Source organism: Homo sapiens, chromosome 2 (assembly GCF_000001405.40).
Source record: "Homo sapiens chromosome 2, GRCh38.p14 Primary Assembly".
Taxonomy (NCBI): Eukaryota; Metazoa; Chordata; class Mammalia; order Primates; family Hominidae; genus Homo; species Homo sapiens.
The window spans coordinates 215,796,994-215,822,285 of record NC_000002.12 but is presented as its reverse complement, the minus strand read 5'-3'; the positions used below and the strand labels follow the sequence as shown (position 1 = coordinate 215,822,285).

At 39.2% G+C, this 25,292-nt stretch overlaps 1 long non-coding RNA gene and 1 pseudogene across 2 annotated transcripts in view; both read left to right on the top strand.

The window, feature by feature from the left end:
• Positions 1-25,292, top strand: part of LINC00607 (long intergenic non-protein coding RNA 607) — a 231,974-nt gene that overhangs the window by 21,251 nt on the left and 185,431 nt on the right. The gene's annotated exons all lie outside the window — the stretch shown is intronic.
• COXFA4P5 (COXFA4 pseudogene 5) lies at positions 16,427-17,715 on the top strand (annotated as a pseudogene). Its single transcript, XR_007088076.1, has one exon. The product of XR_007088076.1 is annotated as a COXFA4 pseudogene 5 (transcript).

Sequence of the window (25,292 nt, the reverse complement as noted above, 5' to 3'; positions counted from 1 at the left end):
CTCATTGGTTTCAAAGAACTTATTTATTCTGCCTTAATTTCATTATTTACCCTGTAGTCATTCATGAGCAAGTTGTTCAGTTCCCATGTAGTTGTGTGGTTTTGAGTGAGTTTCTTAATCCTGAGTTCTAATTTGATTGCACTGTGGTCTGAGAGACTGTCTGTTATGATTTCCATTATTTTGCCTTTGCTAAGGAGTGTTTTACTTCCAATTATGTGTTTAATTTTAGAATAAATGCAATGTGGTGCTGATAAGAATGTATATTCTGTGGATTTGGAGTGGAGAGTTCTGTAGATGTCTATTAGCTCTGCTTGGTCCAGAGCTGAACTCAAGTCCTGAATCCTTGTTAATTTTCTGTCTCATTGATCTGTCTAATATTGACAGTGGAGTGTTAAAGTCTCCCATTATTATTGTGTGTGGGTCTAAGTATCTTTGTAGGTCTCTAAGAACTTGCTTAATGAATCTGGGTGCTCCTATATTGGGTGCATATATATTTAGGATGGTTAGCTCTTCTTGTTGCATTGACCTCTTTACCATTATGTAATGCCCTTCTTTGTCTTTTTTGATCTTTGCTGGTTTAAAGTCTGTTTTGTAAGAGACTAGGATTGCAACCCCTCCTTTTTTTTTTTATTGCTTTCCATTTGCTTGGTAAATACTCCCCCATCCCTTTATTTCGAGCCTATGTGTGTCTTTGCACATGAGATGGGTCTCCTGAATACAGCACACCAATGGGTCTTGACTCTTTATCCAATTTGCCAGTCTGTGTCTTTTAATTGGGTCATTTAGCCCATTTACGTTTAAGGTAAATTTTGTTATGTGTGAATTTGATCCTGTCATTGTGATGCTAGCTGGTTATTTTGCCCATTAGTTGATGCGGTTTCTTCATAGTGTCGATGGTCTTTACAATTTGGTATGTTTTTGCAGTGGTTGGTCCTGGTTGTTCCTTTCCATGTTTAGTCCTTCCTTCAGGAACACTTGTAAGGCAGGCCTGGTGACAAAATCTCTCAGCATTTGCTTGTCTGTAAAGGATTTTATTTCTCCTTTGCTTATGAAGCTTAGTTTGCCTGGATATGAAATTCTGGGTTGAAAATTCTTTTTTTAAAGAATGTCGAATATTGGCCCCACTCTCTTCTGGCTTGTAGGGTTTCTGCAGAGAGATCCGCTGTTAGTCTGATGGTCTTCCCTTTGAGGGTAACCCGACCTTTCTCTCTGGCTGCCCTTAATATTTTTTCCTTCATTTCAACCTTGGTGAATCTAACAATTATGTGTCTTGGAGTTGCTCTTGTCGAGGAGTATCTTTTTGGTGTTCTCTGTATTTCCTGAATTTGAATGTTGGCCTGTCTTGCTAGGTTGGGGAAGTGCTCCTGGATAATATTCTGAAGAGTGTTTTCCAACTTGGTTCCATTCTCCCCATCACTTTCAGGTACACCAATCAAATGTAGGATTGGTCTTTTCACATAGTCACATATTTCTTAGAGGATTTGTTCATTCCTTTTCATTCTTTTTTCCCTAATCTTATCTTCATGCTTTATTTCATTAAGTTGATCTTCAATCTCTGATATCCTTTCTTACACTTGATCGATTCAGCTATTGATACTTGTTTATGCTTCACGAAATTCTCGTGCTGTGCTTTTCAGCTCTATCAGGTCATTTATGTTCTTCTCTTAAACTGGTTATCCTAGTTAGCAACTCCCCTAACCTTTCTTCAAGGTTCTTAGCTTCCTTGCATTGGGTTAGAACATGCTCCTTTAGCTCAGAGGAGTTTGTTGTTACCCACCTTCTGAAGCCTACTTCTGTCAATTTGTCAAAATCATTCTCCATCCAGTTTTGTCCCTTGCTGGTGAGGAGTTGTGAGCCTTTGGAGGAGAAGAGGCATTCTGGTTTTTGGAATTTTCAGTCTTTTTGTGCTGGTTTTTCCTCATCTTCGTGGATTTATCTACCTTTGGTCTTTGATGTTGCTGACCTTTGGATGGAGTTTCTGCGTGTACGTCCTTTTTGTTGATGTTGATGCTATTCCTTTCTGTTTATTAGCTTTCCTTCTAACAGTCATGCCCCTCTTCTGCAGGTCTGCTGGAGTTTGCTGCAGGTCCACTCCAGACCCTGTCTGCCAGGGTATCACTAGCAGAGGCTGCAGAACAGCAAAGATTGCTGCCTATTCCTTCCTCTGGAAGCTTCATCCCAGAGGGGCACCCACCAGATGCCAACCAGAGCTCTCCTGTATGAGGTGTCTGTCGACCCCTGCTGGGAGGTATCTCCCAGTCAGGAGGCATGGGTGTCAGGGACCCACTTGAGGAGGCAGTCTGTCCTTTAACAGAGCTTGAGTGCTGTGATGGGAGATCTGCTGCTCTCTTCAGAGCTGGCAGGCAGGAATGTTTAAGTCTGTTGAAGCTGCGCCTGCAGCCGCCCCTTCCCCCAGGTGCTCTGTCCCAGGGAGATGGGAGTTTTATTTATAAGCCTCTGAGTGGGGCTGCTGCCTTTCTTTCCAAGATGCCCTGCCCAGAGAGGAGGAATCTAGAGAGGCAGTCTGGATATAGTGGCTTTGCCATACTGTGGTGGGCTCTGCCCAGTTCCAACTTCCCAGCAGCTTTGTTTACCCTGTGAGGGGAAACTGCCAACACAAGCCTCAGTAATGGTGGACGCCCCTCCCCGCACCAAGCTTGAGCATCCCAGGTCGACTTCAGACTGCTGTGCTGGCAGCAAGAATTTCAAGCCAGTGGATCTTAGCTTGCTGGGCTCCATGGCGGTGGGATCCGCTGAGCTAGACCACTTGGCTCCCTGGCTTCAGCCCCCTTTCCAGGGGAATGAATGGTTCTGTCTCACTGGTGTTCCAGGAGCCACTGTGGTATGAAAAAAAAAAACTCCTGCAGCTAGCTTGATGTCTGCCCAAATGGCTGCCCAGTTTTGTGCTTGAAACCCAGGGACCTGGTGGCATAAGCACCCGAAGGAATCTCTTGGTCTGTGGGTTGCAAGGACCATGGGAAAAGCGTAGTCTTTGGGCTGGAGTGCACCATTCCTTGCGGCACAGTCCCTCATGGCTTCCTTTTGCTAGGAGATGGGGTTCCCCAACTCCTTGTGCTTCTTGAGTGAGGTGATACCCCATCCTGCTTCAGCTTGCCCTCTGTGGGCTGCACTCACTGTCTAACCGGTCCCAATGAGATGAACCAGGTACCTCAGTTAGAAATGCAGAAATCACCCACCTTCTGCGTTGATCTCACTGGGAGCTGTAGACCGGAGCTGTTCCTATTCGACCATCTTGCCAGCCACTCATACTTTGTTGCTATAATGCCCACTGTGTCCAGCTGTGAATTCATAGCTCATGTGTATCTTTACAAAGGGGTTCAAATTAATAGTAGAGTCAAAACATTACAAAGTCATTTCCTTTGAAGAAAAATTTCTGTTTTTATATCATTCTCAACAAATAACTTACAGTCAGTATTGATTGTTATGTTATGTTACTCTCTTTTGTCAGAGATGTTGGGGAAAAAAGTATATTTTATCTTCCTGCGTAAGCATTGCCCTAGAGATAATGGGGGCTTTTTGGGAAAGGCTTACCCCAAAGTGGTTTTCCTGTACTCATGCTATTTCATGAAATATAGCAGGAGGGATTTATTATTCCAATCTCAGTGACATCTTGGGAGGAACAACCTGTAAAATCATTTGTCAATCACTTAAACCTCAGTGCTGATTTATTGGCAGCTTTTCCATTTTCATCTAAGGGCTATTGTTCTATCTATTGTCAAATCAAAGAATGCTGTTATCACGTCTTTAAAGGAAATGAAAAAAATAGTAAACAACTTATAATAGAATCAATGTACTATAGCAAATTCACCTTTGTGTTTTCTTTCTTGTCTTTGTCCATTTTCATACATTTTTAATATTGATATGATCACAGAGTTGACTAACTTTGTACCTGTACAGGTGGTGCCTGTATGGTGGGGAGTTGTGAGCCAAAGGGAGAAGACAAAGTGACACAGGTGACAGCCATGATTTTCTACCCAGGTGCTTTCTGTTGTCCCTGTTGCTCTGCTCTCTACTTCCCTTCACTTCACCCTCCTCCTCACCTACCTTGCATTTTTGAGTGAAACTAAGTTCACTGAAACTTTATAATTATTTTGAATTTAAGAATGTTTGCAATGATTGAAATTCTCAAATTGGAATTGCAAATTAAATGACCAAATCTAACTGCTGGCTGTCATTTTCTTCTCCCTTCTCCCCATGACTCCCCTACCCAACTCAATACATATACATAAATTACCTACCACTTGCCAAGCAACTTGCAGGGCTGGAGAATGCAGAAATGGGCGACTCTTGGACTCTACCTTCCAGCAATAGACTAATTGTTAAAGAGGTAAGTAATTACTAAGCTATATCATGAGAGCCATATTAGAGGAGAGCAAAACAAAACAAAACAAAACAAGGATGGGGAGGAACAGCTGCATGTTACATTTGTAATAACAATAGAGTATCATAAATTCTGTGACAGCATAATACAGTGGAGCATAAGAGCACACTGTAGGAGCCTTAATCCAGCTCTGTGGGGGGAGTTCCAGAGAAGGTAACAATCAACCTGGCTTTGGAAGGTTAAGAAGGTGGATGGAGAAGGAGAAAAGAACTTTCAGGCACACACAAAGACCTGTATGAAAGAGAGAAGCTGGTTGGCTCTAGTTCAGGCCTCAGGTTGAGAGAAGGGTGTGAGGAGATAGTTGCATGTGGTCCAGGGTCTGGTGTTCTATGTTAGGTAGTTTGGCTGTTGTTCTATGGGGAACAGGGTACTAAAGTGGAAATTTGGGGATACAGAAATGTGATCAATGTTTTGCTGGTTTTAAGAGGGAGTAATTATGGTGGGTAAGGGATTGGCAGGGTGAGGGTGAACTGAGGAGCCTAATGGTCCCATAGTTCTTTCCTTTGTAATGAATTTCTCACTATCTAGTGTGCTGTGAGTGAGGCTCATGGAAGGTGTTTAGTAACTACTTGCTGAATGGATGAATGGATTTAGCATGCATCAGAGCTTAAGGAGGATCATGTGTCTGCTTTAATCCCTGATCTTGTATGTTGTTTTTCCAGCCCAGCAGCCCCATGACTTGGGGCAGGACAACATACATCAAGAACACTTGAGCAACCCGCTCAGTTCACCCCTCTTCCTTGCCTCATGAGACTAGTGGCCAGTAAGGCCAAAGTGGAATTTAAATTCCATTTGGGGCAACCACCAGGGATCTCTTTTTAATTCTGAGATAAACCTCCCTGATTTTGGCTTCTATTTTGAATCCAGATTCTGTCTGCCAACCTAAAATAGTCAAAAGGGTCAGAATCCGTTTTTAAAAAGTTTATTCAAGCAAAAAGATTGAGGACAGCCATCTGGGAAGCACAGATTCCAAAGAATGGAAGTCAGCGTTCTGAGGTATAGAAGTTTGGGATTGTTTATATAGATAAAGTTTAGAGAAGCCTCACAGAAGTTCAATATCCTTCTATATAAGGCTTAAAGCATAGTTACAACCATCTGATTAGCTGAGGTGATTTTTCTTTCGGGAAAGGTATATTTAACATTCCACAATAAAGATATAACAGTCAAACCGTCATGGGGTCTTTTGCGCCACCTGGTCTCAGTTAGGTATGGGACAATAAAGGAGGCAGTTAATCTATAACAAAAGTCAGTGATTGGAAGGATAGAAAGCCTGGCTTCTGGCCTTTCCTGGTCATTTGCAGAGCAAGAACAATGAAGAAGAGAGTTAATCTATAATCGAAGAAACAGAAGCTGCAGGCTGGGCACGGTGGTTCACCCTGTAATCCCAGCACTTTGAGAGGCTGAGGTGGGAGAATTGCTTGAGCCCAGGAGTTTGACACCAGCCTGGGCAACATAGTGAGAACTCCATTTCTACAAAAATAAAATAAAAAAGGAAAAGAAAGAAAGAAACAGAAGTTGCAAACATGTTGCATGCCTCAGTCTCCAGGGCTTAACTTCCCCTTGGCATAATAAATTCAGAGGGTCCTAAAATTTATTTTCATTTCAATTTCACCCATTTCTTTAAAATCTTTTGGAGAAAGCATTGCAGAAGAATCATGTATTTAGGTCATGTATGTAGGTCAAAATCCCACATTGCTAGGAAGGCTCATTCCTAGGAAGTCATGTCCCATGAGGGGGAAAGTTGGAAAGGACCAAAGCTGAATTATAAAGCAAACACGAGAGAAATGGTCCTGAAACCTGATTCAGGCTGCATGACTGCCTCTTCAATCAAAGAAATTCTTTGAGCGACCATTATTCCAGACTTTTCAGTTGTGCATTGGTTCAATTGCAAACAAATGCAGTAACAGCAGTGTAGACAAAAACAGGACCAAACACCACAAATAATTATAATTACTAGAATAAGTAACAAGTTTTGCCACCAAGTTTCTCAGATCTGAAGCAGCTGCTTAGGCAATCATTTGGAAAGGGCCTTTGATCTGAAAAGTCAGTTATTTGGGTTTTCATATCAGCCATTAATTTAGTGATGTTACCTGATTCATCAGGGATTTGGACACAACACTCAGTTTCTACGTTAGCACAAGCTCCCCCTTGGGCTGCAGCAAGTGTGTCTAAAGCCATACAGTTCTGTAATACAGCCTTTCTCACAAGAGTAACTTCATTGTTTAATAATGAAATACCCATATGGCTATCATTTAGGGCCTTTATGTATCATTGTTAGGGCCTCTACACACCAAATGACATCCTCAATACCCAGCTGTAGTATGAAGATGAACGCTAATAAATGGTCATACCCGTGAAACATAGAACAAACCCAATGAGATTGCGAATGAGGAAAATTGGCAGGTTTTAGCAGAGTATGAACTACTCAACCCTGTGCCCAAGCATATCCCGAGGAATGTCGCCTAACCATCTTGGGGGTAACTGTGACCATAAGTTAGTGCCACAAAGCCCAGATGTTCCATTTGGAACTAACCAATGAATACCTGGTGGTTGTGCCCATTAGGTGGCATGCCAATCAGTACTCTGTCTCTAGTGCTATTGGGACAGGTATGTTTGGTATAATTTCTCTGTTCCAAAAATAAGGTGACAAGCTGACTGAGCTGGCCAAAGAAGGGGGCAAGCCAGATAAAACCATCCCAAATTTGTGTTGTATCATTCTAAAATTGACTTGTCTCAACTCTCAATTGGGGCAGTCTGGTTGTTTCATCTCTCAGGAGGGACAGTACCAGCATGAAAGCTAATGGACTAGTTTCTTTTACCGAGAAGCTCTTACTATGATCTTTATTCCGTAAAGTATTATTAATAGGCCAGTGATGTACATTATCCTTAGTCCTACTAGTGTCAAACATCGATGACTATTTTTGAGAAACACAGATATATTTCTGATATTCTATCCAATCTTTTCCTGGGAGATACCCATCATAATTGGCCAAAACTACTAGAAAGGGCATGAGACCACATACTCAACAAGGATATTTTTGAAAGCTTTTAGCATAGTCTTGGGCACTTTGCAAAGAGAAGTTTGCTTCAAGGGCAACAGCTGGTGATAGCAGAACCAAGACATGAGAACTAAGAATAAAAAGAAGTTTAGTGGGAGCTTGTAAAGGAAAATCTTCATCATCTATTTATTAACGAATGTTAATATTAAGCATTTGTTCAGATATAGACCTGGTCTGAAGCCTTGGGTTTTAGCTGTCTACATCAGATATCATCTTCTTTTCGACCTGGCATTAACTTGAGCTGAGAGTCATCTTCCGGGGAAACATTCCACTCAGGAGATACAGCCTTTTTTGATGAGAAACATGGATCTAGGAGTCTATTTTTTCTCATTTAACAGCACGAGGTTTAGTAAGGGACACTTTGGAAGGGCCCTTCTACTTCGGTCAGAAACAGTCTTTTAAAATATGTCATTTCCAATAAACAAAATTCCCTGGTTAAAGACTGTGAGTCTTTAATTCTTCATTTCCTGAGAGGTCTCTAATAATCTTTTACTAGATTATAATTTTTAGTTAATTGTTTCATAAGGTAATAACAATAAGGGAACATGTCTCCCTTTACAATTAAGGAGTTACAATTCCATGGGGACAGATTCATAGGTTTGCCAGTTATAGCAACAACTGACATTTTCTAAATGAGACTGATCTTAGGTTAAGAAAAACCAATGGAAGAGACTTTGGCCATGGAATCTTTAAAACTTCTGTTATTTTTGCCAATTGAATCTTAATTATTCAATTTGTATGCTCCACCAATCTAAATGATTGGGGATGACACGCACAATGAAAGTGTTGGAGGAGAGGCCAACTTTTACATACTGACTGAATTTTCTGTCTGGTAAAATGAGTACCTCTGTCACTGTGGAGTTTTAAGGGAGCTCCCCAAGTCAGAATAATCTTTCCTGAAAGAATTTTACTTACTGCTAAGGCAGTCAGTCAGTCACTCTTCTACATGGATAGACTTCTAATCAATGAGAAAACATGCAAATAATCACTAGAACATAATGGTATCCTTGCAGTGGTGGCAGCTGAATAGAATCTAATTGTCGTACTTCATAGGGGCCTTCAGTTAAAGGCAAATGTCCTCGGGAACTGTGTAAAGGTTTCCCTAGATTATATTTTGAGCAGATACATGGCAGTGATTGTATACCTTGTGAGCTATAATCAGAGATGGTTTTTGAAAGTATTGTTTTCCCCAAGCAACCATTTCATCAAGGCTCCAATGAGTTGAATCACGTCTATAGGTTAAAAATGACGACTGTAATTCAGCAGGAAGCATAGGTAAATTATTTGGCCCACACCACACCTCATCTTTGGGAGAGTATGTTCTCCTTTTCGTCTTCCAATTTTCCTGTTCAGCTTCTGGAGCTCTGTACTTAGCTCATTTTTTGTCAAATTCAGGTGCTTCTTTAAAAGTTAATATAGGTTACTTTTCTTGTTTAGATGCATTTAGTGCAGCTCTTTTTGCTGCCTTATCAGCTAGCTGATTTCCTTTGCTTTCTGGAGTATCTGATTTGGGGTGATCTGGGATTTTAATAATGGGCAGTGATCTTGGTATAATAATAAGCCTTCTAGCAATTGTGAAATAAGGTGTCCAATTTTTACAGACTGGTCAGAAGTGGTTAAAAACCTTCTTTGTTTCCATAGCATTCCAAAATCATGAGCAACTCCAAAAGCAGATCTGCTGCTTGCATGAATATTAGCAGTTATTCCTTTTGCCAGTTGACAGGCCCTGATTAATGCTACCAGTTCTGCTTGTTGAGTGAATGTGGCTCCTGGAAGGCAATCACTTTCTATTTCTCCCATTAAAGATACTATAGCATAACCTGCACAATAAGTCCCAGATTCATCCTTTAAGTTAGATCCATCTGTAAACCAAACAACATCAGTGCTAGGAAGGGGAGTCTCCTGGAGGTCTGTCTGGGAGAGAGAAGCGGTTGGTTAAGATTTTGCAATCTTGTGCCCTCTCATCTGAAGCCAGAGGTAGAAGAGTGACAGGGTTTAGATGATTGGACCTAGAGATTGTAATGTGAAGGACAGAATTAGGGGGATGCTGACCTTTAACAGTCATCTATATCCTTAATCCCCTAGAAGTTCGCCTGTTCAATACATCGGTTCTACTTGCTTCTGGAGTCTCAATTACCTGAGCTCACCACAGCCTAACATTTGTTGCATATTAAAGCAGTTGTCTTTAATTCAGAAGTGGTTTTGGAGAGCTTTATGTCTTCTTCCTATAGGGAAAGAACTTTGTCAGAGCCTCTCTTGAAAAGGTCTAAGTACCATTGGAAGTAACTCTCCCAATTATTGTTTAATTTTAGAGCTGTTTTTCTAGTTGTGTGTGTAAATAAACTAATTTAGGTATTTCAAAAGTATCTCATTTTGGCCATTGTAGTTTGGTGTCTTCACGGGTTAAGACTATTTCTCTAGATATTGACAGGAGGTGGCCCCATAAGTATTGCCTAGGAATCCAACTGGAGTTTCCATAGGTTGATCTCTCCTTTCAGAAGGAAGATGTGGTTTTACATAGATAACTGCCCATAAATTAAGTTCTTTTTAAGCTGAAAGTGAAAGATGTTTTGGATGTGGTGTGCTGCCCAATGAGGATTACTCCTCAAGGTGTCACCTACGAGTTGCTTCTCCCCTCTTACACATCTTGGCAAAACCCATGAGTCCTGGGTGCTTAAGGCACAGGGAGAGCAGCCTTTCATGGGGCCCCCTGGGTTAAGCAAGATTCCCCCTGTGTTCTTCTTTGAGGATTGCCTATGGGACCATTGCACATCACAAGCAATGAGCTCAAACACTCCCACAGGAACCTAGTTGCCTAAGGTACATTTTGTCCAGGAAGAATAGTGTCCCTTATCTTCAGGATTTATCTTCATTCTGATTAAAAGCTTTTCCCTGGCTTTGGCCACTCAGAAGGGACTTTAGATATGTCAAATGAACCCAGCTTCCAAGTTTAGCCAGTTTTTTTTTTTTTTAATTACAAACTTTGCTTAAACCACAAAAAAATTCACTTCCTCTTTTCAGAGAGAGAAATGGTTTCCTTTCCTGACCATAGTGCGAATGAGAGCAAAGGCTGCACAAACTCTAATGCATAGTTCAACAAACAACTGTTAACCTAAATCTATAGGACAGGCACAGTAGCTCATGCCTGTAATCCCAGCACTTTGAGAGGATCACTTGAGGCTAAGTATTGGAGATGAGCCTGGGCAACATAATGAGACCCTGTCTCTACAGAAAGTAAGTTAGCCAGGCATGGTGGCCCTGCACCTACAGTCCCAGCTTCTCCTGAGGATGAGGTGGGAGGATTCTTTGAGCCTAGGAGTTTGAGGCTGCGGTGAGCCATGAGTGCACCACTGCACTCCAGCCTGTGCAACAGAGCAAGACTCTGTCTATAAAAAAAAGCAAGACTCTGTCTATAAAAACAAAACAAAACACAAAATAAACAAAACAAAACCTGCAAAGAGCAGAATCTCTAGAGAACAAAACCCAAAACCTTACCTGAAAAGCAGAGCTTTAATTCCAGCTCTATTGAGCGTGGAATTAGGTGGCTTGAATAAGGTCTGAATATCAACAAAAATCAGGGAGATTTGAACTTGAAGAGGAACCTCACCAGAGACTCCTCCTGGCTCTAGTGAGGTCGAGTGAACAAAAGTCATTCATGCTAATACCAGTGCCCTGACTGTTGTTGGTGAAATGGTGGGGATCACTGGCGGCTTGCTTTGGGTCCCATCTGGGTCACCAAAATGTCATCCTAAAATAATCAAAAGGGTCAAAATCTAGTTTAAAGTGTTCAAATGCAAAGTCTGAAGATAGCCACCTAGGAAGCACAGATTTCAAAGAATGGAAGTGAGTGTTCTGAAGTGTCGAATTAGTTTATCTTTGGCCAGTGGCAACCTATTCAAGTTGTCTTTTGAATCTTTTGAGCAATCTCAGTAATCTCTGAGAGCCTCCTCGTTGTCTAGTATGACAAAATGTTCTAGGCTCATCCTCTACTTTTCCTTTCTCAGACTTGGAATCAGCCATTTTTTCTTTTTCTTTTTTTCTTTTCCTTTTTTTTTTTTTTTTTTTTTTGAGACAGAGTCTCGCTCTGTCACTCAGGTTGGAGTGCAGTGGCAAGATCTTGGCTCACTGCAACCTCCACCTCCCAGGTTCAAGAGATTCTCCTGCCTCAGCCTCCTGAGTAGCTGGGATTACAGGTGCGCACCACCACGCCCGCTAATTTTTGTATTTTTAGTAGAGATGGGGGTTTCACCATGTTGGTCAGGCTGGTCTTGAACTCCTGACCTCGAGGAGGGTGATCCACCCACCTCGGCCTCCTAAAGTGCTGGGATTACAGGTGCATGATTGCTTTGATTTGGAAATGATGACTAGAAACAGCAATATGAGAATTAAGACTCCTCATTGCTCTTAGGTTGATCTTTTCAGAGGATAGAGGTAGGAAATATATATATATTTTTAAATAAAATACATCATGAATTTATATATATTCAAATATAGAATAGGACTTTTAACTCAATCTTCTGCATCTTACGTTTGTATTTCCTTTCTCTCATGACAAAAATCCTGGTTTCTGATGGCACCAAGACAATTACTTATTTGCTTAATCTCACAATGCACACGACAGTCTCAGAATAACAATACCTACCACTAGCTGCAGTGATTTGATAATTTTAAGATTTATTTGCAGTTCTTTTTGTCCACAGAGTATATCTCAATAGAAATTTATAGTCAGTTTACAATGTTTCAAAGTCATTTGGAATAGTTCCTCTATGTGGTTTTGCCATCCATCTGATACACAGTTGTATTTACTTGACTAATTTTGCTCTCAATTGTTAAGTATCTGATTTTGTTATGTTTAATTTTGTTTTATAATTATGCAAAGTATTTACACTGTACCAAATTCAAATATACAAAACAAGGTATATTCATAGAAGTATTGCTTTGACCCTGTCCCTTCTTTTTTTTTTTTTTCCCTCACTCTGTCACCCAGGCTGGAGTACAGTGGCATGATCTCAGGTCACTGCAACCTCCTTCTCCTGGGTTCAAGCGATTCTTGTGCCCCAGCCTCCCGAGTAGCTGGGATTACAGGCATGCACCAGCACGCCCAGATGGGAAACTCCTTGTCTACTAAAAAAATACAAAAAAAGGGGTCTCCCCATGTTGGCCAGGCTGGTCTTGAACTCCTGACCTCACTTGTTTTACCCACTTCGGCCTCCCAAAGTGCTGGGATTATAGGCATGAGCCACTGTGCCTGGCCCTGCTCCTTCTATATAATTCCTTCTTTCATCATAGATAACCATTTAAAGAACTGTATATGTTAAGCCTTCCCTGCCTTTAAAAAATTTAAGGACTTGTCTGAAGATGACTCCATGGTAATATAGAGATAATTCTCATTTCTTTTTTGTAGCAGGCTTGTACTCCATTGTATGGCTGTATCCTGATTTATTCTTTATTGAATCCATTCTCCATTATGGATATTTGGATTGCTTCCAAGTTCTTTATTATTATTAATGGTGTTGCAATGCATGGCCTTGTGCATCTTCTTATAGTTTTGCCAATGTATCTTTTGAATAGATTACTCAACATGGTGTCGCTGAGTAAATATCTAGCAAGGTATCAGCAAATCTTCCTCTGGAAGAGAGGTGAAATTTTGCATTCCCACCAGCAGAGCAAAAGTGCTTGCTTCCCCACAGTCTGGTCAACTGTTTATGTGATCAAACTTTTGGATTTTTCCCATCCAGTGATAATTGAGAACTAGAATCTCAGAGAAGTGTAAAATTATACTTCTCTTACTATTAGCACTGTTGAGCTTTTTGTAGGTCACTTGAATTTGCTTATCAATTGTTTCTTAGTTTCGTTTTACAATAGAGTGTTATCGGTCTTTTCTTCTCAAATTCTAAAAGCTCTGTTTATGTGAAGAATAATCGCTTTGGGTGACGTAAGTGGCACATATTTTCCCCAGTTTGTCATTTGTCCCCTTTTTACATTACTTATGACACTTTTCACATATAAAGGTTTCTAACTTTATTTTATTTTTTACATCGTCAATTGTATCAGTCCTTTCTCTTTTTACTTCTGGATTTTGAGTCATGATTAGGAACATTTTTCCAAGTGTCATGTAATAAAGCAATTCACTCATGTTTCATGTAGTATTTGTATGGTTTCATTTTATTACATTCCTGATACACTTGGAATTTATCTTGTTTTATGGTGTGAGAAATGGATCCATTTCCTCCTTTTAAAGTATAGCTATCTATCTGTTAATAGTTGTCCTAATACTACTCACTTAAATGTTCATCTTTTTCCCACTAATTTGAGGTGCTGACTTTATTATATGTTAAATTTTCCTATGCAGTTGTATTCATGCAGGGCTTTCTGTTCTACTGAAAGTATCACTAAGGGTTATGACGGAAGTTTGAATTCTAGTTAAATGAATAAGCAGGTCCTGTGTTGCCCAGAGCACAGGAGAAGAGGTATAAAGTGGTATTAGCCATTTTCTCTGCAAGGTAAAAGACGTGAAACATTTTGGATGTTTAATGAATAGTTACATGAGTGACTCAATTAAAAAAGTAAATTAGTAAATGATCAAAGAAATACACTTGAGATATATATTTGGAACAGGACAAAGTTTCTATGAAATAGCAATTAGTGACAATGCAGTGGTGGACAGTATAACAGGGAGAAAATAGTAGTATTTATAATCTATCTGCTTAGAAAAAGAATAACTTTGTTGCATATTTTAAAATGTGAAACTCTGAGAACTTGTGTGTAAATATTAAAATATACTCAGATAATTTCATTATATTGAAAATTCTTATTACTGTATTGAAAATAAACCAATGATGAATCCTTTAGTGGAGAGAATCTTTTTTTTTCAATTGTGAATAATTGTAATTTAAATGAGATGTTTTCTTGGTTCAAATTTTGTGTGTAAGATTTTTTAATAGTGAGGCACATTGACATGTTTTGAAAACAGAGTGTAACAAAAACAGTGACCATTTCTCCTTTGAGAATGAAAATAATGACATAAAAAATAATTAATCTAGGTTTTCATTACACTGGGAAGACAACTCATAGACACCATTGTCCAGAAATCTGTGACAAAACGCCTAATTAGTGTTTCTTATCTAGCTTGGAAGTAACAGCCAGAACTCTGAAGGTGTCATCCTGACTTTTGAAGGATTTTACACATAATTCAACATAGCTATGTGTGAAGAGCTCTTCACACATCTCCGCCTTTCTTTTGTAGTTCAACATACAATACTACAAAAGAAGTTAATAAATAGTTCTGTAAATAAATTACTTTAGGAGGTACACAGGGAAATTAAAGAACAGGCAGGAAAGGAAGGAAAAACATTAAGCGAGAAGGAAAATTGACAAGATTGAGAAAGGAACTTCTCCATCTGGCGAAAGATTCAGGGCTCAAAATTCCCTTTTCAGCCATGGCTGGAGTGTGTGGAAGAAATGACAAAGCTAGTCCTCACTAAGCACCTGGGGAACAGAAGGGCTCTTTCTATGTTGTTAGCTTTGCAGTAGTTCTCTGGATTTTCTTGCTCTAGGATGTTATAATCAAGACATATTGAAAGTGTAGCCTCTCTTTTTTTATAATCTTGTGATTCTCAGAACCAGCAGTAAGAAATGTAGAAAGCAGTGAGATGAAAAATAGCTTGGGAAGAGCAGCCTACTTTATTTTCTCTTAAAGCTTGAAAATATTTTTGTTTTATTGAGGGGCTAAAGTTTGGATTGGCCCAATTAATATTCATGTGGTTTTACCACCCTTACTAAGTATACTTAACCTCTCCTTTGGACATTTTCCGTCTCTTTATTTTTTATTATTATTATTTTTTTTAACTTGAACTAGCCCTTAGTTTCACAACATTGGCTGCCCACCCTAGGGGCATGAAAGTTACCTGAATTAAGTTTAACTCTAAAACATACAGTAAACCTTTTAAATTTGGTCACACTTGCCTCTGAACCACTGTTAATATAACTAAATGTATGCCAAAGTTATTCTGAAAAGCATTTTTTTCCCTATTCTTTTAATCCTCTTATGTCAAATGGATAAGTGAATTTGTAGAGTATCATCATTCAGATTTGTCCTTGTTCTTCCTGCAGTTTGAACTATAATCTCAACCCCAGAAAAGGAAAAACTTCTTCCAACATGTTTGCAAATAATTTCTCTTGTCTATGAAAAATTTTTTGGCAATAATGAGGGAATTATATGGCTTATGGACCCAGTAAAGTTTTGTGCTGAATGTCAGCTGAGATGCGTGGCAGAGGGGCCAAGTGAAGGCCAAGAAAGCAGGTAGGGAAATAGAAAATATTTTTGGTACTCTTGTACAACTTAAATTTGCTACAATAGCTTTGTAAGACCCCATTGCGGGAAGATTCTCTGGTGGGACTTTTTCTGCATCTGGGAATTCTACCATGAATTTCAGGTCTCAACTAAGAAAAAATCTTCACTCAACTTGGTACTCTGGACTTTTCAGGTGTTGTGTCTTTTTGAGGGCAAGAGAATAGGATATTTTCATTTACCAGCTCCCAGAAAAGCAAACATTATTATTTGAAGGGGTACGTGTTACAGGAGCATCTCACCATGTGTTTCCCCTTCTGATATATATATATACATATTTTTTTTTTTTTTTTTTACCTGAGACAGAGTTGCCCAGACTGGAGTGCAGTGGCGCGATCTAGGCTCACTGCAAGCTCCGCCTCCTGGGTTCATGCCATTCTCCCACCTCAGCCTCCCGAGTAGCTGGGACTACAGGCGTCTGCCACCACGCCCGGCTAATTTTTTGAATTTTTAGTAGAGACGGGGTTTCACCGTGTTAGCCAGGATAGTCTCGATCTCCTGACCTCGTGATCCGCCCACCTCAGCCTCCCAAAGTGCTAGGATTACAGGCGTGAGCCACCGCGCCCAGCCCCTTCTGATATATTTTAATTCATTTAAAGGTAAGCTTAGAAAACAAATATTAGGGACAGTTTTAAGGGGTGATGATTTTGAAAGTGAAAAACCCTGGGGCTAGGACTAGGTGTGGTGATGATTTTTAAAAATTCTTTTATTCATTTATTATGCAGACAACTATTCAACACCTGTTCTATGCCAGGCACTGTGTTAGCTATTGGGAATAAAACAATGGCCAATATAGTTATAGTTCCTGCCTTTTACAAGGCTTAGTATCTAACAAGGAAGTCAGATAATTAAACAAATAACAACGTAAGCGTACATACATTTTGTGATAGATAATTATGTAGTTTATCATTCAAACTGGGACCTGAAGATGAAGGGGGAACTCTCAATAATTATGCTGGGCCAAGAGGTTTACACCGAGATCACCCTGGGCAAAAGGAGATGTTTCTGACCTTAGGGTTAAGAGATCCAGAGATGGTTACAGGACTGTGTATAAGGATCGCTTAATCCAGTCTGTATGTGATGATGGTGGGAGAAAGATTTTTAGGAGGAAATTACGTTGTTACTCATAGGACTGCCTCTTCAGGTGGGTTCTCTCCTGCGGCTCTCTAATGACTGCCTGTACGTCTGGAAGCCAAATGCTTCATATTTGTAAGACCAGCTGGGAGAAAGGAGTCTGCTACCCCAACAGCTCAACCCGAGTCTTAGATTTGAGTCTCATTGGCCTGATGGACTCATGTGCCCATCTCTGAACCAATCACTGTGGACTGGGGAATGGAATCTGGAGACTGGCCTATCCCTGTGACAGGTGAATTCAGGGTAGTGTTAGGGAGGGGAATGGGTTAATAATAAAGCAGTTGGCAGATACTACTTAGCCCAGGACCTGGTGGCTAGTCTGGTTCTCTCCTTTCTAATCGGAGGCCTCTACCGCAAACATGCTCTGCCGGATCATCAGTCAGGCCACTACGCATCCAAGCTTGATCCCCCTCTTCGTATTTATTGGAACTGGAGATACTGGAGTGGCACTGTATCTTTTGCACCTGGCATTGATCAATCCAGTTGTTAGTTGGGACAGAAAGAATAACCCAGAACCCTGGAACAAACTGGGTCCCAATGATCAATACAAGTTCTACTCAGTGAATGGATTACAGCGAACTGAAGAAAGAAGGTCCAGATTTCCAAATGAAATGTTTCGCTATAAAGCTGCTTTAGAATGAAGGTTTTCCAGCAGCCATCCGCACAATTTTCCACTTAATATATTTGTCCTCTAAATGCATGAAATAATGTTGATGCAATCTACTGTAGATTATACTGATTAATAAATAACTGAAACTTGAAAAAAATAATAACGCAGTTCTTTTTTTTCTTTTTTACTTTTTTGAAACGGAATCTTGCTCTGTCGCCCAGGCTGGAGTGCAGTAGTGCCATCTTGGCTCACTGCAACCTCCACCTCCCGGGTTCAAGCGATTCTCCTGCCTCAACCTCATAACTAGCTGGGACTACAGGGACATGCCACCATGCCTGGCTGATTTTTTTGTATTTTTAGTAGAGACGGGGTTTCACCGTGTTAGCCAGTATAGTCTCGATCTCCTGACCTTGTGATCCGCCCGCCTTGGCCTCCCGAAGTGCTGGGATAAAGCAGTTCTTATATAGCACTTATGTGCTGGGCATTGTTCTACGAGTTTAATGTGTTGCATTTTTAATTCCCCTAAAAACGCTTTGAGCTAGAAATTATTAATGTCCTCATTTTACAGCTAACGGGACTGAGGCACAGGGAGGTTAAGGAACTTTCCTGATGTCCCACATCTAGTAAGTGATTAAGCCAGAATTCCAACACAGGCAACTAGCTCTTAGCCATTACACTCTACCACCCGGACATCCTGTACAGCAGGAACTCGGTCTGACTGAATTGAAGAGTGTGAAGGCGAATGGTGAGAAACACTGCTCTCCAGTAATGGTTGGTTTTCCTTCCTACATCAGAAAAAAAAATTATATCATGTTTAAAAACACTAATAGCTGCTTTGTTGATAAATAATTTACATACCATACAATCCACCTGTTTAAAGTTTACGATTTAGTGGTTTTTAATTACAGAACCCATGACTAATCTTTTTTGTTGTTGTTGTTACAGAGTTGGGAAATCATCACCCCAATCAATTTTAGGACATTTTCATCCTCCTTAAAAGAAACCATTAACAGTCACTCTCATTTTCCCCACCCCTTCCAGCCCTAGGCAACCATGAATCTAATTTCTTTCTCTGAAGATTTGCCTATTCTAAATATTTCATATAAGTGAAGTCATACAATATATGGTCTTTTGTGATTGGCTTCTTTTTCAAGTCTTACTCATGTTGTAGCATGTATCGGTATTTCATTCCTTTTTATGGCCTAATAATATGGCATTGTATGGATATATCACATTTTATTTATCCACTCATCAATTGTTGGATATTTAGGTTGTTTCTAGTGTGTGGCTATTATGAATACTACTACTATAAACATTCATTTATAAATTGCTTATATTTTCATTTATCTTAGGATATACCTAGGAATAGAATTGCTGAGTCATATGGTAACTCAGAGGAACTATCAAATCATTTTCCATAGTGGCTGCATCATTTTAAATTGCCACCAGCTATGTATGAGAGTCCCAATTTCTCCACATCCTTTTTGAATACTTGTTATCTGTTTTTTTAAAAAAAATGTATATTATTAGCAACCTAGTAGGTGTGGTATTGTATTTTATCATGGTTTTGATTTGCATTTTCCTGATGACTAATGATGTTGAGCATAATTTAATGTGCTTATTGTTCATTTGTGTATCTAGTTTGGAGAACTGTCTGTTCCGATATTTTGCTCATTTTTAATTGGGTTGTCTTTTCATTACTGAGTTGAAATAGTTCTCTAACTATTCTAGATATACATGCCTCATCAGATATGCAATTTGCAAATATTTTCTCCCATTCTGTGGGCTGTTTTTAAACTTTCTACATGATATCCTTTTCAGTACAAAAGTTTTTAATTTTGACAATTTTCAATTTTTCATTTTTTTTTCTTTTTTTAATTGTGCTTTTGGTTTCATATCTAAGCAATCATTGCTAAATTCAAAGTCACAAAGATTTGTAGTTATGTTTCCTTCAAAAGTTTTACAGTTAGCTCTTACGTTTAGCTTTTAGATTCATTTTAAGCTAATTTTTGTATATGGTGTGAGTTAGTGGTCCAACTTCCTTTTGCACATGGATATCCAGTTGTCCCAACACCATTTATTAAAAAAATTACTCTTTCTCCATTGAAATATCTTGGCACTCTTGCTGAAAATCAGTTGATCTAATACCCAATGGTTTATTTTTGGACTTTCAATTCTGTTTTATTAATCTACATATCTTTCCTATGCCAGTACCGTATTTTCTTGATTACTGTAGCTTTGTAGTAAATTTTGAAATCAGGAAGTGTGAGCCCTCCTACTTTGTCTTTTTCAACATTGTTTTAGATATTCTGGATTAATTAAATTTTCATTGGAATTTTGGGATCAGCTTGTCAATTTCTGTGAAGAAGCTAGCTGTGACATTGATAGGGATTGTGATAAATCTATACATCAATTTGAGAAGTATTGTCATCTTAACAATATTGTATCTTCCAGTCCATGAACATGGGATATCTTTCTGTTTACTTGGATATTCTTTAATTTATTTAAATAATGTTTTTTAGCTTTCAGAGTATAAGGTTTGCATTTCTTTTCTTAATTGTACTCGTAAGTATTTTTCAATGCTATTACAAATGGAATTGTTTTCCTAATTTTATTTTTGGAATGTTTATTATAAGCATATAGAAATTCAATTGACTTTTGTATAATGATCTTGTATTTTGCAACTTGCCAAACTCATTCATATGTTCTAATACTGTTTTTAATGGATTCCTTAGGATTTTCAATATATGTGATCTTGTCATCTGCAAATAGAGATAGCTATACTTTTTCCTTTCCAATATGGTGCCTTTTATTTTATTATATTGCATAACTGCTCTGACTAGAGCTGCTAGTGCTAGTTTTCTTTTCTGTGATGTCTTCGTTTGGTTTTGTTATCAGAATAATACTGGCCTCATTGAATCAGTTGGGAAGGTTTCCCCTTGCTTCTTTGTTTTGGAAGAGTTTATAAGGAATACTATTAATTATCACTTTTTTTTTTACTTATTTTTTTGAGACAGAGTTTTGCTCTGTCACCCAGGGTGGAGTGTGGTGGTGCGATCCTGGCTCATTGCAACCTCTGCCTCCTGGGTTCAAGTGATTCTCCTGTCTCAGCTTCCTGAGCTGCTGGGATTACAGCATTGAATCCCAGGCTGGTCTTGAACTCCTGACCTCAAGTGATCTGCCCACCTTGGCCTCCCAAAATGCTGGGATTACAGGCATGAGCCACCACACCTGGCCTAATTCTAACTTAAATCCTTGGTAGAGTTCACGAGTAAAGCCATCTGGGCCTAGTAATTCAATTTCTTTACTTGTTATAGGTCTATTCAAATTTATATTTCTTCTTGGGTCAGTTTTGGTAGTTTGTGTCTTTGTGGAAATTCTTATATTTCATCTAAAGTATTCAATTTGTTGACAGGCAGTTGTTCATAATATTCCCCTATAATTTTATTTATTTCAGTAGAACTGTCCCTGCTTCATTTTTAATTTTAGTAATTTGAGTTTTCTCTTTTTTGCTTGGTCAGTCTAACTAAATATTTGCCAGTTTTCTTATTCTTTTCAAAGATCCAGTTTTTGATTCTGTTGATTTTATTCATTATTTTTCCTAGCCTCTATTCAGTAGTTTATTCCCTAATCCTTATTGTTTTCTTCCTTTGCTTGCTTTTTGTTTAGTTGCTCTTCTTTTTCTAGTGCCTTAAGGAGTCATGTTAATGACTTGAGATATTTCTTATTTTTTAACATAAGCGTTTTCAGTTCTCAAATTTCCTCTAAGCACTGCTTTAGCTACATCCCATAAGCTTTGGGATGTTGTGTCTTTATTTTTACTTATCTGAGAATATTTTCTAATTTCACTTCTGATTTCTTCTTTGACTCATTGGTTATTTAGTATTGTGTTGTTTAATTTTCACGTATTTGTAAATTTTTCAAATTTTTTTGTTATCAATTTCTAATTTTACTACATTTTGGTTGGCAAACATACTTTGCATGATTTCAATTCTTTTAAATTTATTCAGGCTGTTTTATGACTTAGCATACAGTCTGTTAATGAAAATACCAAACTCTGTAAATATTTTAAAGAAATTTATTCTGAGCTAATATGAATGACTGCAGCCTGGGGAAACACAGTCTTAAAAAGTCCTGAGAAAACGCACCCAAGGTAGTCAGATTACAGTTGGTTTCATACATTTCAGGGAGGTAGGATGTGTTAGTCTGTTTTCACACTGCTATAAAGAAATACCTGAGACTGGGTAATTTATAAAGAAAAGAAGTTTAATTGACTCAGTTCCACATGGCCGAGGAGGCCTCAGGAAACTTACAATCATGGCAAAAAGGAAGCAGGCACACCTTACATGGCTGCAGGTGCGAGAGAGCAAGAGTGAGCAAAGGGGGAAGAGCCCCTTATAAAACCATGAGATCTCATGAGAACTCACTATCATGAACAGGATGGAGGAAACCACCCCCATGATCCAATCACCTCCCACCAGGTCTCTCCCTCAACACATGGGGTTTATGGGGATTACAATTTGAGATGAGATTTGGGTGGGACACAAAGTCAAACCATGTCATAGGAGTTATAAGTAAAGACATAAATCAATACATGAAAGGTATATATAGAGTCAGGCTAAAAAGGTGGGATATCTGAAAGCAGGGGACTTATTACAAGTTATAGGTGGATTCAGAGATTCTTTAATTTCCAGTGGGTTAAAGAGTAAGGCTCTGTCTCTAACTTGGTGTGACTTAACCCTTGTCTTTCATAGCCTTCGGTCTTCTTTATAATTTGGTATTTTATTGCCACAGAGAGTCTGTTTTGTCAATCTTATGATCTTTCTTTTAACACTAATGCTGGTCAGTTGTTGTGCCTAAACTCCAAAAGGGAGGGGGTACTATGAGATGTGTCTGCCCTCCCTTCTTGTCATGTCTGGGAACTCAGTGTTTAAGGTTTCTCTGTGGTCCCCTTGGCCAAGAGGGAGTCTGTTCAGTTGGTAGAGGAATTAGAATTTTATTTTTAGTTTACAAGTCTATCCTAGAGAATGTCCCCTGTGCACTTGACAATAAGTGTATTTTGTGGTTTTGGGATGAACTTTTTTATAAGTGTCTGTCAGATCTAGTTGGTTTAGAGTGCATTCAGGTCCTCTATTTTCTTATTTATTATCTATCTAGTACAGTAGTCCTCCTATCCATGGTTTTCCTTTCCAGGATCTTAATACATGAGGTCAAACATGGTCTGAAAATATCACATGGAAAATTCCAGAAATAAACAATTCATAAGTTTTAAATTGTGTACTGTTCTGAGTAGATGGTGAAACCTTGTGCTCACTATGTCCTGCCTGGGATGTGAATCATTCCCTTGCCTATATGCTACCTGACTGTTAGTCACTTAGCAGCTGTCTTGGCCATCAGATCAACTGTTTTTGTGCTGCGGTGCCTGTGTTCAAGTGACCCTTATTTTATTTCACTTAATGATAGTTTCACAGTGCAAGAGTAGTGATGCTGGCAGTTTGGATATGCCAAAGAGAAGCCATAAAGTGCTTTTATTTAAGTGAAAAGGTGAAAGTTCCCAACTTAATAAAGAAAAATAAATCATACATTGGCCAGGCACAGTGACTCAAGCCTGTAATCCTAGCACTTTGGGAGGCCGAAGCAGGTGGATCACAAATTCAGGAGTTTGAGACCAGCCTGGCCAAAATAGTGAAACCCCGTCTCTACTAAAAATACAAAAAATTAGCCAGACATGGTGGTGGGCACCTGTAATCCCAGCTACTCAGGAGACTGAGGCAGGAGAATCACTTGAACCCAGGAGGCAGAGGTTGCAGTGAGCCGAGATCACGCCACTGCACTCCAGCCTGGGCGACAGTGCGAGACTCCGTCTCAAAAATAATAATAATAATGATAATAATATACTGAGTTTGCTAACATCTGTGTTAAGCATGCATCTTCTATCCACAAAATTGTGAAGAAGGAAAAAGAAATATGTGCTAGTTTTGCTGCTGCTCCTCAAACTGCAAAACTGCATAATATGTGCTCAGTTAAGATGGGAAAGGCATTAAATTGTGGGTAGAAGACATGACAAGAAAACGTGTTCTGATTGCTATAATTGTTCTATTTTATTATTAATCATTGTTAATCTCTTACCAGGCCTAATTTATAAATTAAACTTCATCATAGTTATGTATATAGGAAAAAAACATAGTGTATTTAGCGTTTAATATTGTATTCATGGTTTCAGTCATCTACTGGGGGTCTTAGAACGTATCCCCCATGGCTAAGGGGAGACTAGTATATCGAAGTCTTCAACTCTCATTGTAGACCTGTCTATTTTTCCTTTCAATTCTGTCAATTGCTTTTTGTATTTTGCGGTTCTTTTTTTTAGAGATATATATGTCTATAATTGTAATATCTTCCAGATGAATTGATATTTTAATCATCATAAGATGTTCTTCATTATGTATCATAACTTTTTTGGTTTAAAGTCTTTTTTGTCTGTATTAGTATGGACATTCCAGCTTTCTTATGGTTGCTGTTTGCATGACATATATATATTTATATCTTTTTACTTTTAACATATTTGAAAATTTTAATCTAAAGTATGTCTCCTGTAGACAACATATAGTTGGATCTTTTTTAAAAATCCAGTTTGACAATCTCTGCCTATTTGATTTGATCATTTAATCAGTTCATATTGAATCTAATGTTATTATGGCTGTAATTGGATTTATGTCTGCCATTTTACTTTTGACTTTCTCTTTCCCTAAGCTCTCCATTAAGCTGTCTGCCTTATTTGGTATCACACTAAGCTGTTAGACTTCACCAATTTCTAGCAGATTGCTCTATTGTTTTGACAGTTCCTGGGGCATAATTCGTTCCACAGCCTGACCCGATTAAATTCAAGCAGGAATAATTTTTGAGGCCAGTCTTTGAGGTTTGTTCTGTTGCCAAGAGTACTCTTCTTAGCTGTTTCTTTCCCTGATTTTCTCTCTTAAATTAGCTAGCCTATGATTTAGCTTGTTACTCTTACAGAGCTACCAGCCTCCTTTTAATTATTTACCATCAAAATGTCCATTGTTTTTGAGAGTGTCCTTAGGCTTGAACTTCCCCACACTCTATTTATAATAAAGTATTTTTTTTTTCACTCTGTCACCCAGGCTGGAGGGCAGTGGCGCGATCTCCGCTCACCGCAAGCTCCGCCTCCCGGGTTCAAGCGATTCTCCTGCCTCAGCCTCCTGAGTAGCTGGGACTACAGGTGTGTGCTACCACGCCCAGCTAAATTTTTGTATTTTTGGTAGAGACGGGGTTTCACCATGTTAGCCAGGATGGTCTCAATCTCCTGACCTCGTGATCCACCTGCCTCGGCCTCCCAAAGTGCTGGGATTGCAGGTATGAGCCACTGTACCTACCCTAAAGTAATTTCTTTTTGGGAGAGCTTCAGAGCCCTCTTTTTTATGATTTGCTTCTTCCTCTGAATAAAAACCAAGCTTTGGGTGCTTGGCATGGGGTAGTAGCCTCTGGTCTTCTTATTTTGCTTCTTCTGTGTGGAGCCTCAGTCCTGTGAGTGAGCTGGAGGGTGATAATTGGGGCCCTAGTGTTCCTGGCCTGCCACATCTGCTGTAGAGCCACCGCTCTATGTGTGGGGTTGTGGGTGGTAGAAAGGAGCTCCCAACAGCTGGGCCATACTTACCAGGAATTTAGCCTTTCCAACCTGGAATTGGAGAGGATGAGAAACACTGGTGTCCTGCCCTTTCC